The sequence below is a fragment of the Homo sapiens genome, chromosome 7 (assembly GCF_000001405.40).
Source record: "Homo sapiens chromosome 7, GRCh38.p14 Primary Assembly".
Taxonomy (NCBI): Eukaryota; Metazoa; Chordata; class Mammalia; order Primates; family Hominidae; genus Homo; species Homo sapiens.
In genome coordinates this window covers 19562871-19578181 of record NC_000007.14, presented here as the reverse complement: position 1 = coordinate 19578181, position 15311 = coordinate 19562871, and the positions used below count along the sequence as shown (strand labels likewise).

The 15311-nt window shown below is 33.7% G+C and overlaps 1 long non-coding RNA gene across 1 annotated transcript in view; it reads right to left on the bottom strand.

Moving 5' to 3' along the window:
• LOC105375180 (uncharacterized) overlaps positions 1-1891 on the bottom strand; it is a 93261-nt gene extending 91370 nt beyond the window's left edge. Inside the window, exon 1 of the long non-coding RNA XR_007060245.1 lies at positions 1764-1891. This is a non-coding gene — a long non-coding RNA (uncharacterized LOC105375180). The remainder of the gene's footprint in view (positions 1-1763) is intronic.
• Positions 1892-15311: the final 13420 nt, after the last annotated feature.

Here is a 15311-nt window from a genome sequence, read left to right as displayed (position 1 = left end):
TTAGATGCAACCTAAAAGTTCGAGAAGAAAAGACAGTTTTAAGTTCAACAATGTCTGCTTATTAGAGAAGAAACAAGGAATTAACAGTCATTTATTGACTTACTATTGGGTAATTAAAAAGAAGTGTATTTCTGAAGAAATGAGGAATAATCAGTAGACTTTTCATTCACACTTCTGGATTTTTCTGTTAGTATCTTCCAGTCTCACTTGGTAAGAGTCAAATATATTCTCAGGGAAATGCAAATAGGCAAAAGGATTTTTTCATGGGCATGGATACTACTGACTGAATTACAAAGCAAATGTAACATTTAAATGACAAACTTTAAAGTTGTACAATTGCCTTACTTTACTTTTGATAGGTAATAACAGAGTCACTGAATCAACTCTAACAATAAAAATTGATCATTTGTCAAAAATATTTCTCTCTCCTTCCTTCCCTATCTCTGTCTCTCTCTCTTTTTACTTTTGCTCTCACTTTTTTTATTCCAGACACTTTCATTTAGAATCCTGGAGAAATAAATATTTCAGAGACGAATTCCATGCTTTCTTTGGAAGAAAAATTCCCCAAGAGTTCAATAATGCTCTATAGAAACAGTTAGTGGTGGGAGGCCTTCCCTACTAAATTTAAAACAATATTATCAGCATGTCAGTTAAAACCCTTGTGGGATCAGGTGTGGTGGTAGAAGCAACTCTAGGTCACTACACAACACAGAGAAAATGTTCAAAACAAACCTCTAACTTAAGTTGGGTCTTTTTTCCTTCTATTTTAATAGAAGGATGGTTCATTCTTATATTCATTCTGTTATTGATATAACCTTAATGTTTTGGCAACATGTCTCAGAAAGACTGACCACATCCCTACCTTTTATTCCATGAAAGATGGGGAAATGCTGATCTGGGTAATTTCCTGAGGAGACAGAGAGAAGGTTCGTGAACCTTAGCATTATTATAGTGCTCAAAGCAGGACTGTTCCAAGAAATTCGGACAGTGGGAGAGCACAATGATTTTCATCTTAAAATGCCATTGTCTAAATTTCTCTATGGACCACCAAGAATAATAGTGTTATAGCATAAATGGGTAACATAGATTTATGAAACAGTATTATGACATGTCTAGCAAAACATTTGGTATGTAAAGAAAAAGCAAAAAAAAACCTCCTATACTTCCATGATTATAAATCATACCTATTTCCACATTTTTATATTTCTAAAATTTGGATGTACTTTTTATAATTGGTGTATATGTTTGTAGTGAGACTTTTTAAAAAAGCTGCTAGGAAATCGATGACACTTTTTAAAGATATCCAAGTATATTGTTTGTTATAAAATGGTACTCTTTAATTTCCTAATTTGGATTTTTCTTTTACTATGTGTAATATCTAAAACAAAAGACTATATGACTATATGAAAATCAAGTACATTGTAGACATTACACGACAAGATTTGGAGAACCCTTGCTTACACATGTGTAACACATGCAAATTCAAACGTAGAGAAATATGCCATTTTCTTCGAATAGAGCTACTATGCAAAACTTCCGATTATGAAAGCAGGTCATGGGCCAGTGAGAAGCTAGGTTCTCATGTGCAGCATTTTGGACTACATATGGGCTAAGTGAAAGGTGGTGGGTCACTTCAATGTATGCTGTGCTGTTTCAACCCAAATGTTTCTCTTCTACATTGATATAAAATAATTGAAATAAAGTTAAATATTTAAGTTAGGATGAGGTAGCCACTTAAGGGGAAAAGGAATGCTGTATCTTACTTCATATGTGTTGAAGGTCATCATTATGCATGGCAACTCTCAATGTTTATGATTTCTTCTCTGAGAAGCTCATATATACTAAGTGATTCATAGGTAAGTCAATACTGCTTGAAGTTTAAATCGTCTTCCAGTCTGGAAGAGAATATATGACACTAGTTAGTATTCTTAGAAAATGTGGAATAATGTACCATTGGATATTTTTTGCATAGAAAAAAAACCTATTCAAGTTCAAGACAATACTATTGGGAATGAGAAATGCCATGAACATAATTGATTAAAAGCAGATGACTCACATACCCAACCCTCTTAAATACATGTAGAAACATGTATTTGCTTTAAAGTGAGTAACTTCACTGAAGATGCCAACCTCTCCCTCTTAGATAAGGGCTTTCTAATCCATTTTGCAAAAAGATGTCACTTGGGGTCAAAATGGTGAGCGGTGGGAGAGAACAATTTTGAAGGACATATAAAATGCTTCTAGTTGGTCATCCTGGGTAAAATTTCTGTAACTCTTTCTTTGATGAAATTATGTATATGTAAGCACATCACATAGCCACATACACAAATAAAAGCCTCAATTAAAAAAGATTCAAGGAGTCTGTATTTCCTGCACCCACTGTAATTCTTAGACATCATTGATGACCTAATATCTCTATATCTTCTCCCTCTAACAAAAGCCCAGGTTGAGGTATAGTTCAGGTGTCTAAGCTATTCAGTGGAGATACAAAGTCCCTTGTTTGAAGGCACTTAATGAAAAGCTTCTGACTACATGTCAGCACTAATTTTCCAAATATTTAGCTAGTTAAGAACTAGTCACCAAATATGTACCATAGCTAGTTGTTTTGACTTCTACAAAGATGAAATCCTGAAAATACAAGCACACCTCACAGATACTGGCAGTGAGTGGTTCCAGATCACCACAATAAAGCAAACATTGCAATAAAGCAAGTCACACAAATTTTTGTGTCCCAATGCATTTAAAAGTTACATTTACACTATCTTGTACTCTTTAAGTGTGCAATAACATTATGTCTAAAAAAGTAATGTACAATCCTTAATTTAAAAATATTCTATTACTAAAAAAATGCTAATGATCATCTGAGCCTTCAGTGAGTTGTAAACTTTTTGCTGGTAGAGAATCTTGCCTTGATGTTGATGGCTTCTTCCCAGTCAGGGTTGCTGAATGTTGGGAGGCTGTGGTAATTTCTTAAAATAAGAGAACAATAAGGTTTGCTGCATTGATTAACTCTTCCTTTTATGAAATATTTTTATAGTATGCAATGCTGTTTGATAGCATTTGACCCATACTAGAGCTTCAAAATTGGAGTCAATACTCTCAAATCCTGCTGCTGCTTTATCAACTAAGTTTACGTAATATTCTAAATCCTTTGTTGTCATTTCAACAGTGTTCACGGCATCTTCACCAGTAGTTCCAATCTCAAGAAACCATTTTCTTTAATTTCCATTCAAGTTTTATCATGAGATTGCAGCAAATAAGTCACACCTTCAAGATTTATTTCTAATTCCTGCTCTCTTGGCTATTTCTATCACATCTGCATTGATTTCCTCCACTAAAGTCTTGAACCCCTCAAGTTATCCACGAGGGCTGGAATCAACTTCTTCCAAATTCCTATTAATGTTGATATCTTTGCCTCCTCCCATTAATCATGAATATTCTTAATGGTACCTAGAATGGTAAATCCTTTCTAGAATGTTTTTAATTTACTAGGCCCAGATCCATCAAAGAAATCATTATCTATGGCAGGTACAGGCTTATAAAATATGTTTGTTAAATTAATAAGGCTTGGAAGTCAAAATTACTCCTTGATCTATGGCTTGTTAAATGGATGTTGTGTTGGCAAGCATGAAAACATTAATATCCTTGTAAATCTCTATCAGAGTTTTTGAGTGACTAGATACGGTGTCAACGAACAGTAACATTTTAAAAGAAATCTTTTTTTTTCTTTTTCTGAGTAGTAGGTCACAACAGTTGGCTTTAAATGCTCAGTAAATCACGTTATAACCAGATGTGTTTTCATCTAGGCTTTGTTGTTTATTTATAGGTCACAGGCACAGTAGATTTAGCACAATTCTTAAGGACTCTAGCATTTGGGGAATGACAAACGAACATTGACTTTAACTTAATTCACCAGCTGCGTTAGCTCCTAACAAGAGAGTCAGGCTGTTATTTGAAGCTTTGAAGCCAGGCATTTACTTCTCTTCTCTAACTATGAAAATCATAGATAGTATCTTTTTCAAGTAGAAGGCTATTTTATCTACATTGAAAATCTGTTTAGTCTACCTTCATCAATTATTTTAGCTAGATCTTCTTGGATAACTTGCTACAGCTTTCCCATTAGCACTTGCTGCTTCACCTTGTACTTTGTTATGGAAACAACTTCTTTCCTTAAACCTCAAGAACCAACCTCAGCTAGCTTCAGGCTTTTCTTCTACAGTTTCCCTTACCTCTCTCAGCCTTTACTGAATCAAAGAGAGGTTGGGTCTTTCTCTGGATTAGGTTTTGGCATAAGGCGATGTTGTGGCTCATTTCATCTTCTATTCAGGCCACTAAAACTTTCTCCATATCAGCTGCTTCTCCAAAGCAGCAATAAGTCTGCTCTTCTTTCTTATAGATTAACACTTTTAATTTTCTTCAATAACTTTTCCTTTGCATTTACGACTTGGCAGTATGGTGAGAGAGGCTTAATTTTTGGCCTGTCTTAGGTTTTGCATACCTTCCTCAGTAAGTTTAATTATTTCTACCTTTCTACTGAAAGTAATGAGAGATATACAATTCTTCCTTTCACTTGAACACTTAGAAGCCATTGTAGTTTTATTATTTGGCTTAATGTCAGTATTATCATGTCTCAGGGAATAGGAAGGCCTGAGGAAAGAGAGAGAGAGAGAGAGAGAGAGAGAGAGAGAGATGGTGAAATGACTGGGTAGTGGAACAGTCAGAACACACACCAAAATTATCTATTAAGTTTGCTGTCTTACATGGGTACAGTTCATGATTCCCCAAAATAATTCTACTGGTAACATCAAAGACCCTGATCACAGATCACCATAACAGATACATAATAAAAAGTTTGAAATATTGCGAGAATTTCCAAGATGTAAAACAGAGTCACAAAGTGAGCACATGCTGTTGGAACAATGGTGTATGCAAACTGTTCCAGTCCTCAATCAGAAAAGTGTACCAGGCTCTTAACACTTTTTTCTAAGACCTGACAGAAGTGACAAATCATTATAGCCATGTCTAAATTATCTTCTCAGAATTTCACACAGACCAAGTGGAAACCTTTCAACATTGTACTTCAGAAAATTGAAACCAGCTTGATAAATTTGTTTATTTTCCTCTAAGTGTGCCCTGGTTTTCGTAACACAGACAGTTTGTAAGTGTGCTAATGAATGGTAACTACCCCATCTGATTCTCAATCTTCATACTCACTCTGCCAAGAAATTAGTTTTGTGAATCTTCAACATTTGTTTTTCTACCACCTGAAGCTAGCCATGGGACCTGGTTTAAAGTTCGTTCATGCCATTTTTTTTCCAAATTCACTTACTTTCATAACTGAAAATGACCTCAAAGAATGATTAATACCCTGTGGGGGTCCATGACATAAATCCGATCCAGTGTGCCTGATGCAAGCTCTCTCAGAAGGAATGTTACAGCTATATTGCCGTGGAAACCTGGTGACACTGAGCAGACCACCAGATATAAAATCTTCAAAAGGCATAACTACTTAACTTGGACTCAAATTTATGTTTACTTGACTTGTTACCAACAAAATGGAGTGAACTATTTTCCCTAGAAATTGCATAATGCGTTGCAAAACTACCAAGAATAATAATAGAACAATGAATGATAGGTCATTTTTATTTCTTGGGTCTCTTTATGTTTTTTCCTATCTTAGGGAAAGGTAGTATAGTAAGGGCAATGAATGATGGGGGAAAGTAGGTATCAAAAATCTCTTAAATGTGTGTCTACACAAGGTACTGGGCCAAAATGGTAGGTTTTGTTCAAAACATTCGTAAGGGAAATCTTTAATATAGTTGAAAGAATTATTTTGTAGGAATCCTGTATACATAAATGAACTAATATTAAATCAATTCAGTACTTCTGTCCGACAAACTAAATAAATTATGAATTAGGAAACATTTATGGTTATGGTGACACAGGGAGCTTATCATAGTGGTTAAGAACATGAGTTCTGGAGTTTAGTCATAGAGATCAAAACCCTGAGTGACCATGGGAAAGTTAATCTCATATGCCTCAGTTTCTTCAATTGTAAGTTGAAGATAATAATAGAAGCTATCAAATAGGGTTAGTAGCTATCTAATATGGTTATAATGAAAATTAAATGACTTATTTTTTTAAAAAGGCTTGGAAGAGTTGCTAGCAAATGCTCGATAAGAATTCTTTTAGATTCATATAAATGATTGTATCAATATAAAATATTAACTGAATGTAAATATAGTCATGTGGTAAGTGCTGAATTTACAGAGCTAATTTCACAGTTGACTGTTCAAAAACACAATCTTACCAATGTGACATGGTATATGCATACACAGGATTAAACTTACAGCCAATGAAGCTGCAAGAAACATAATAGGGTAGACATTAGGCTCTTTGAGAACAGATTTTAGTTATAATCTAATATGATTTTCCAGGAAAGGAAACCAAGGTCCCCAGAAATTAACTGGCTTTCCCAAAGGAACATAAATTAGTGGCAAAGCTGAGCCTGGAATGAAGATCTTTGGATTTTGTGTACCTGTAGAAAATTCATAGACAATTTACATTTTGGGGACAGTGTGTTTTAGACACTGTATTATAAAAAGATAATTGTATGTTAGCATAGAACAAATTCTATAATTTGGTCTTTTGATTCTTATCAAACACCATTAAATAATTTAGCTATGACTGACATGAGTTATTTAGTAATCATAATGTTACAATATGTATGATTTGTATGATTATTTAAAACAAAAAGACTTTGGCGTATCCATACTGTAAATACTGCTAGTATAAGGTATGGTATAAAGCATAGACAGCATTTTAAAAACCAATCCTATATATTGAAGAAGAGAAACAAATATTTTCATTTTTCTTAATGCTAATGACATATTTTTTCATGTAATTCTCACAATTTTATAAGTAGTTATTATTGAACTTATTTTATAAATTACCTGAGGACCAAGGTTATTAGGTAGCTTTATCCAGGCTCACACTATTAGTGAGTGGTCCAGATGAATTCAAAGCCAGATCTCTAACACCAAATCCCACACACCTCCAGTATACTGAATGAATTTATTCCACACATATTTACTCACTCTTTCCTTTGCCTTCTGAGAATATAAAAGTCTCTTGGAGATTATTTCTTTGCACGGTCCACATTTTTTTAATGTTAAATGAAATTTGATGATTTTCTTTTTTGCTCAAATTTCTTTACACAAGTCAAGGTGTTCAAAATCCTACTTATTTGAAGGATAAGCTAAGGCTGCCAGTATGAGCATTACCTAGGAGCTTAGAAATGCAGATTCCTAGCTCTTCACTCAGATCTACTGAATTGGAATCTGCATTGTAACAAGCTCCCAGGTACTTTACATGTACATGAAACACTGAAAAGCACCAGTCCAAATTACTATACACTTGTTTAAATGCTGTTCGACCATTAGTGGTGTTAATAATGGTAGTTCCAGTGCTCATATTTCACAAATTAAACAGTTTGTGGAAAAAATTGTTTAAATCAAAAGTTAAATCAATATTTATGATCTTTATTTATTTTTTCTCTTCAATTTACCATAAGTTCTGCAAAGCAATTAAAAAGTGTGAATTAAGGAAGTCAGAGGATTTCATATGCCTTTGAAAGCAAAGGGATTAATTACTGGATCATTGGACCTTTTACAAGGACTCTCAAAATACCTTCTGGAGAATTAGGAAGATAGGAATAATGGAGCTTTGAATCACCATCCATCACCTTAATTGCTAACATTTATAAAATCTCTAAAGTTGAGAGGAAATTTCACATACATGATTATGAATGTTTCCGGCAGTGGGGGAAAATCGTATAATTGAATAATCCAGAAATTAAGGTATATGACTTTAAGTGCAATGTAATTAGAAAAGTTTCTCTTAAAATTTGCTACTTGCACAAAGGCCTTTACATGTCATGTAGTTTGTAGGTCTCATGTTAAGTGTCAAAAACAAAATGTTTTTTTTAAAAAATACAACACATTCCAAAAAGCTCACTCTTATAGATAAGTTGAGATAGAGTAATAGTGTAAAGACAGAAATAGGGGACCTGCTGGGAAAATATTGCAATAATCAGAATTGTAGGTCAGATCAAATTGGCAGTAGAAGATATGAGACATGAACAGATTCTGAAACTTTTGAATATAAAGAGAACTTGTTGGTGGATCGGAGGCGGAATGTGAGAGAAAAAGGGGAACAGAAGTTGGTCTCCAGTATTTTAGCCTGAGAAACTGGTAAGGAGTTGCCATCAAATAAGATGCGGATGCTCTACTTGGAACATGTTTTTTTCAGGAAATATTATTAATATGAGGAAAAAATACTAGGAATAGGTGATGGGGAGATTAAAAATTTGCAATATGAAGGAAAGGTGTAACAAAAGCATAGTACTACAGTAAGGGAGTGAGCTTGAGAACATTGTGATTGTACACTAATTTGAGGTTTTGGTCATGAAGCTATAGTAATACCAACTTTTCAGGATATGCAATCATTTTCATCATTACCCAGCTGTACACATTCAGTAAGGCAGAAGACAGAGTTTGGTTTATCCTGGATTTGATTGTTGAAGGAAGAAAAGGAGAGTGAGTTGAGGAAATTCACCAAGGAATGTCTATAGTGTTGAGCTACAGAATTCAAGCAACATAAAGGGGAGATAAGAATTAGCCCGGCGTGGTGGCAGGTGCCTGTAATCGTAGCTACTTGGGAGGCTGAGGCAGGAGAATCACTTGAACCCAGGAGGCAGAGTTTGCAGTGAGCCGAGATTGCACCACTGCACTCCAGCCCAGGCAACAGAGCAACACTCTGTCTCAAAAAGAAGTTGTGGAGTACAGGGAGAGGGGAAGTAAGGAGACACTAAAATACCAACAACATATAACATTTGTAGGATTCAATGATCTTACTGCCTTTAAGCCTATTTCTAAAGATTAACATTGACGTATGTGCCCACAAAGAAAAATATTTATCACATTGCTGGTAATAGCAGTGCCTGAATTGTTCAGCCTAGATATTATTACAGAGTGTAAGAGCAAATATACTTTCAAAGTTCAAGCTCATTTTCATTTATTCTTTGTGACTAGTGGACTTAATAAGAACTTCTGACAGAAACAGATTTTCATCAACTATAAATAGAACATAATTCTTGAATTTGTGAATGGTTCTTTGCTGTTATTAATTAGTCCTTTCTTTTTCACATGTAGACTTAAGTTAGTGATTAATTGAAATGTGTTAGGACACTTGTGTTGTCTTAGCAGCTCTGTAGGATTTATGTACTACTTCTGGACAGCGATATAAAATGTGGATTTAATCAGAATGCCTTATACCCTATCTCCAAGAAATTCTATAGGAAACTAAGCTTTCCTAGTTCTAGTGCTTGTTTGGCAGAAAGAATTAAACTTTTTAAAACCATATGGCTCCATCATTTTATTATACAAGGGCTTTCTCTATGAGGATTACCTAAATGACATAGCTGAATCTAATGAGCCAAATTTATCAGAGACCTGTAGGTCTCATAACCTCCTCAAGACCAGATAGAAAGCATAATCAGTGAGTGTGGATTAAAGATACATTTCCTATAATTGTTAAGACTTTATCATAACCAGATTATGAATATCTAGATACCAGTTCAACTGTCTCCTAGGAATTTTAGTGCTTATTTATTAATTTGAGGAACAGAATGCCATCCTACTTCTGGCAATACTATGGACTAAATTAGTTTGCGTAAAATTTCTCACCTTCTTATCTGGTTCTAAGCCTGTAATGACATGAGTTTTCCTCTGTTCAAAAAAGACATATCATCTAGTCTAAGTATCATAAAACACATATTATCATTAAACATCTCTGCCTAATCTGAAGCTATTATACTGGTTCTTTATCTTGGAAGCAGTCAACTAACACCACCCACAGGGATCAAGTATATTTAATGCAGGAGGGATGACGTTTGGGTTTGTCTGATATTTTCTCATGAGTAACTTCAGGTGCTAGGCCTCCAAAAATGGCTGTCTGAGGAAGTTAAGCCATTCTCCACCACAGAAAGTTAGAATAAAATGTCACAAAATAGAAACAAATAGATAGATAGGTATTTCTGCATACTGCAAAATGATCAAAGGCATACAACAAAATGAGATATGTGTTTACTCTTTAAAAATTGCTATTGCCAGTGAGGTAGCTCATGCCTGTAATCCCAGCACTTTGGGAGGCTGAAGCAGGTGGGTCACTTGACGATAGGAGTTTGAGACCCAGCCTGATCAACATGGCGGAACCCTGTCTCTACTAAAAATACAAAAAATTTATCCGGGTGTGGTGGCAGGCATGTGTAATCCCAGCTACTCAGGAGGCTGAGGCGTAAGAGTCACTTGAACTGGGGGGCCGAAGTTGCAGTGAGCTGATATCACACCACTGCACTCCAGCCTGGAGGATAGAGTGAGACTCTGTCAAAAACAAACAAGCAAACAAAAACCTGCTACTACATTGGAGGAAACCAATGGAACATCTGTGGGCTTCTTACCCAGGGATGCTCAAAATACCACTGACCTCCACCCACCACTACCACCAAAGCTCAGGCAGTAAAAACTGGAGCTTTATGAGTGGTGAGTGATGGTTCGCACAGTTCAAGATTGACGGCACAAAGGTTTACTAGCTATGCTGGTGGACTCATTCAGGAAGAGAATATAGGAGACAATAATTGGCAACTATGATGGCCAGGTATTATGGTCTCAATGTGGGGTGGGAGGCAGAACATTAGAATTTAAGGGAGAAATCTTGAAATTGAGTTATAGAAGGCATAAAATAACAAACTCTCCACATCTTTGGTGGACTGCTAAGCTATGCCTTAAGTTGGAGACCTGTGACTGACCAATGAAAAGTAGAAGAGATTCTTGAGTCATGAGTAAAATCCAAGTCACTTGTGATTTTGAATGTAGTCCTCTACCTACGCAGCCCAGTTAGCAGACAGTGGAAGCCTTACAAATTTGAGGTGATTCAGCATAGTTTCTGCCCAAATCACTGGGTAAATGTGAAAATACTCAATCCTCTAGGGATCAAGCTACAGACATGTTGAGTGGAGATATATGCAGCTATACGCAAGAGGAAACGGATTTCCCAGGATGAATCTAATCAATTAACGGAAACAAAAAACCTTAACAAGTAATTACAGCAAGGTTATAGAATAAAAGGTTAATATACAAAATCAGTTGCTTTCTTATATATTAGCAATGAACAATTATAATTTATAATTAAAACACAGTATCATTTATATTAGTGCCAAGAAAAGAGTGAGAAAGAAATAATTATGTACACATCAAACAAATTATATACAGGATACATGGGAGAAAACCTAGAAAATGCAATGAAGAATCAAAATCTAAATAAATAAGGACAGTCTATGTTCATGGAAATAAAGACTCATGAAAATGTCATTTCTTCCCCAAATGAATTAAAAATCCAACACAATCCCAGTCAAAATTCCTGTAAGTTATTTTGTAGATATTAATAAACTTATTCTAGGGTTTACATGGAAAGGAAAAGATCCAAAACAGCTAACACAATACCAAAGATAAACAAGGTCAAAAGACTGACACTAACAACTTCAAGGTTCACCATAAAGCTAGGATATTCACAACAGTGTGGTATGGTGAAAGAATGGACAAATAGATCGATGGAATAGATAGCCCAGAAATAGACCCACCAAAATATAGTCAACTGATCTTTAACAAAGGAGTAATGGCAATTCCAAAAGAGAATGGATAGTCTTTTCAACAAATGGTGCTGAAACAACTGGACATCCATAGGCAAAACAGAACTAAACAAAATAAAAAACAGCCAGATAGGCATTTTATGTCCTTTGCAAAAAAAATTAACTCAAATGGATCTCAAACCTAAGTACAAAATGCAAACTTATTATACTTGTGGAAGATAAAGTGGGGTAAAATTCATGCAACCAGATTTGGTGATGAGTTTGTAGATAGAACACAAAAAGCACTAATCATGGAAGAAGAAATTGATAATTTAGATGTTATTAAAATTAAAAACTCCTGCTCATTGTTAAAAGAATAAGGAAACAAGTCACAGACTGGGAGAAATCATTTGTAAAATATATCAGATAATGAATTTGTATACAATTATATACAAAGAACTCAAAAACTCAACAAAAAACACACAACACAATTAAGAATGGGCAAAAGATCTGAATAGAGCTCAGTAAAGAAAATTATACAGATGACATATAAGCATAGGAAAAGATACCTCATATGAAGTATCTTTAAGAAATTATAAACAAAACAGTAATGAAATACCATTACACACCTAGTAGAGTTGCTAAAATTAAAAACAAACAAGCAAACATGATACCAAATGCCAGTGAGAATGCTGAGCAACAGGAACACTCAATCATGGCTGGCAGCAATGCAAATAGCTCAACTATTTTGGAAGACAGTTTGGTAGTTTCTTTTAAAGTTAAAAGTAATTTTACCATATGATCCAGCCACCATATTCCTAGGTATTTACCCAGTTTTGAAAATTTATGTCCACACAAAAACCTGCACATAAATGTTTAGAGCAGCTTTATTCATAAATGCCAAAAACTTAAAGAAACCAAGATGTTCTATAATAGAGGATGAAGAGACAAACTGTAGTGCATTTATGGAAAGAAATATTGAGCAATAAAAAGAAACCTGCCAGTGTTCAATAGCACTATTGGGTGAGTATAATTAACAATTTATTGTTTATTTTCATATAGCTAGAAGAGTGGATTTTGAATATTTACATTAAAATGGATACATGCTTGAGTTGCTGGATACGCTAATTACCCTTGTTTGATCATTGTACATTGTACACATGTATTAAAATGTTATGCTATACTCCATAAATATGTAAAATTATGTTTCAATTAAAAATAATAAAAGCAACACAAAACACATGTGCTATAAACCATGAAAAGACATGAAAACAATGTAGATGTATACTGTAAAGTGAAAGAAGCCAGTCTGAAAAGGCTCCATGCTATATGATTTCAATTATATGAAATTTTTGAAAAGGCAAAACTATAGAAATCATTTTCACTTACAGTATTTAATGGATCACTTTTACAATTTTGCAATTTTTAATGAATCAGTTTTACAGATATTTTTAGATCAGTGGCAGTCAGCAGAGAGGGAGGAGAAGGATAAGTAGGTGAAGTACATGGTATTTTTTAGGATGGTGAAACCATCCTGTATAAAACTGTAATGGTTAATATATATTATTATGCATTTGTCAAGCCCTGTAGAACTTTACAGCACAAAGAATGACCTTAATATAAACTATGAATTTTAGCTAATAATAATATATCAGCATTAGTTCATTAATTATAACAAAGGTACCATCCTACTGCAAGATGTCAGTAACGTGGGAAACGGTGACAGTCATGGTAGAGAATGGGGTTTGAATGTATGCAACTCTTTGTAATACCTGCTTAATTATTTTGTAAATCTAAGACTATACTAAAAATGGCCTATTTATTATTTTAAAAATCAACAACCCTAAAACAGAACAGAATCTAGTCACTGTCACATATTACTTATCATACTAATTGCAAACAAAAAATGCCAGACATGTAAATAAGCAAAAATGTGTGCTGCATAGTTCAGAAAAAAAATCAAAAGAAATTGACTTCGAGTGGGCATGGATATTAGATTCAGCAGACAAAGACTTTAAAGTAGGACTGATAAGTATGTTCAAATAATTAAAGAAAGAATAGCTAAAATATTAAAGGGAAATATCATAACAATGAGACAACAAATAGAGGATCTCTATTGAGGAATATAAAGTATAAAAAAGAACCCAGTAGAAAATTTAGAGCTGGAAAGCATAATAAATTAAATTTAAAAATTACTCAATGAACTCAATAGTAGATTTGAAATAATAGAAGATTCATACCTTTGAAAATAAACAAATATAAATTATTTTATCCAATAAAATAGAAAACGTTAAAAAATAAACATTACTTCAGAGATGTCTGGGATAATATCAATCACCCTAACATATGTGTATCTGGAATTCCAGGAAAAGAGGTTGAGAAAGAGAGAGGCAGAAAAATTATTTTGAAAGAAATGGCCAGAACTTTACCAAATTTGGTCAGAAACATTAACTATATAGATCCAAGGATCTCAACAAACCCCAAATAGGATAACACAAAGAAAAGTATACCTAGAAATATTATAGTAAAATTCCTAAAAGACAAAGGTTAAAAGAAAACAAAACAAAAATTTTAAAAGTATCAAGACAGCTATAATTCATCATGTAGAGAAGGACAATAATGAGGTTAAAGGCAGACTTATCAGAACAATGGAATCCAGGAGATAGTAACATATTAAAAAGTCCTGAAGTAAAAGAAAATGTCAACTAAATATTTTGTGTCAAAATTATTCATCACAAAATAAAGACATTTCCGGGTTTAGAAAACAAAAACAAAAACAGAATTTGTTGCTATACACTTTCCTTTCAAGAAATAATTTTAAAATTTCATCAGATGGAAAAGAAGGGGCATCAAATGGTAACTAAAAACCACAGGAAAAAATGATGAATACATAGATAAAAGATTTTGTGTAGGTGTACGTAGGTATTATCTTTTTCTCGTTAATTTAAACATATTATAATTAAAATCCAAAAAAACCCCACTCAATTGTTGTTTCTATAATGTATACAAACACGATATATATGTCAATAATAATAGAAAGAGAAAAAAATGGAGCTATACAGAGACAAGTTGCTATATTTTATTGGAAATGAAGTCAGTGCTAACTTGAAGATTGTATTACATTACAGACGCATATTTTAACTCCTAGAGTAATCAAACACTGAAAGTTACACACCTAAGTGTCAGAAGAGTTAAAATGGCAAAGTAAAAAAGTTTGTTTACCAAAAAAGAAGTAATAGAGGATGAATAGAGAAACAAAAATAGTTAAATAGAATAAAGCAAAATGTCCAACCTAAATCCAACCTTACCTATTATTATATTAAACATGAATTGAATAAATATTTCAAGCAAAGGCAGAGAATGTCAGACTGTATAGAAAAAAATATTCAACTAGATGTTTTCAACGAGAGATGTACTTTAAATACAAAGTCACAAATTGATAGGACAGCATGTAAAAAGATGTTCCATGCAAAAAAATTACAGTTTACTGGAGTGGCTATATTACTATTAGAGAAAAGAAGCTTCAATATTTAAGTAATAATAATAAATATTACCACTAATAACAATTACTAATTATGCTACCACTTGGATAAATATTGGAATAGATGCTTTTCTAAAGAAGGTA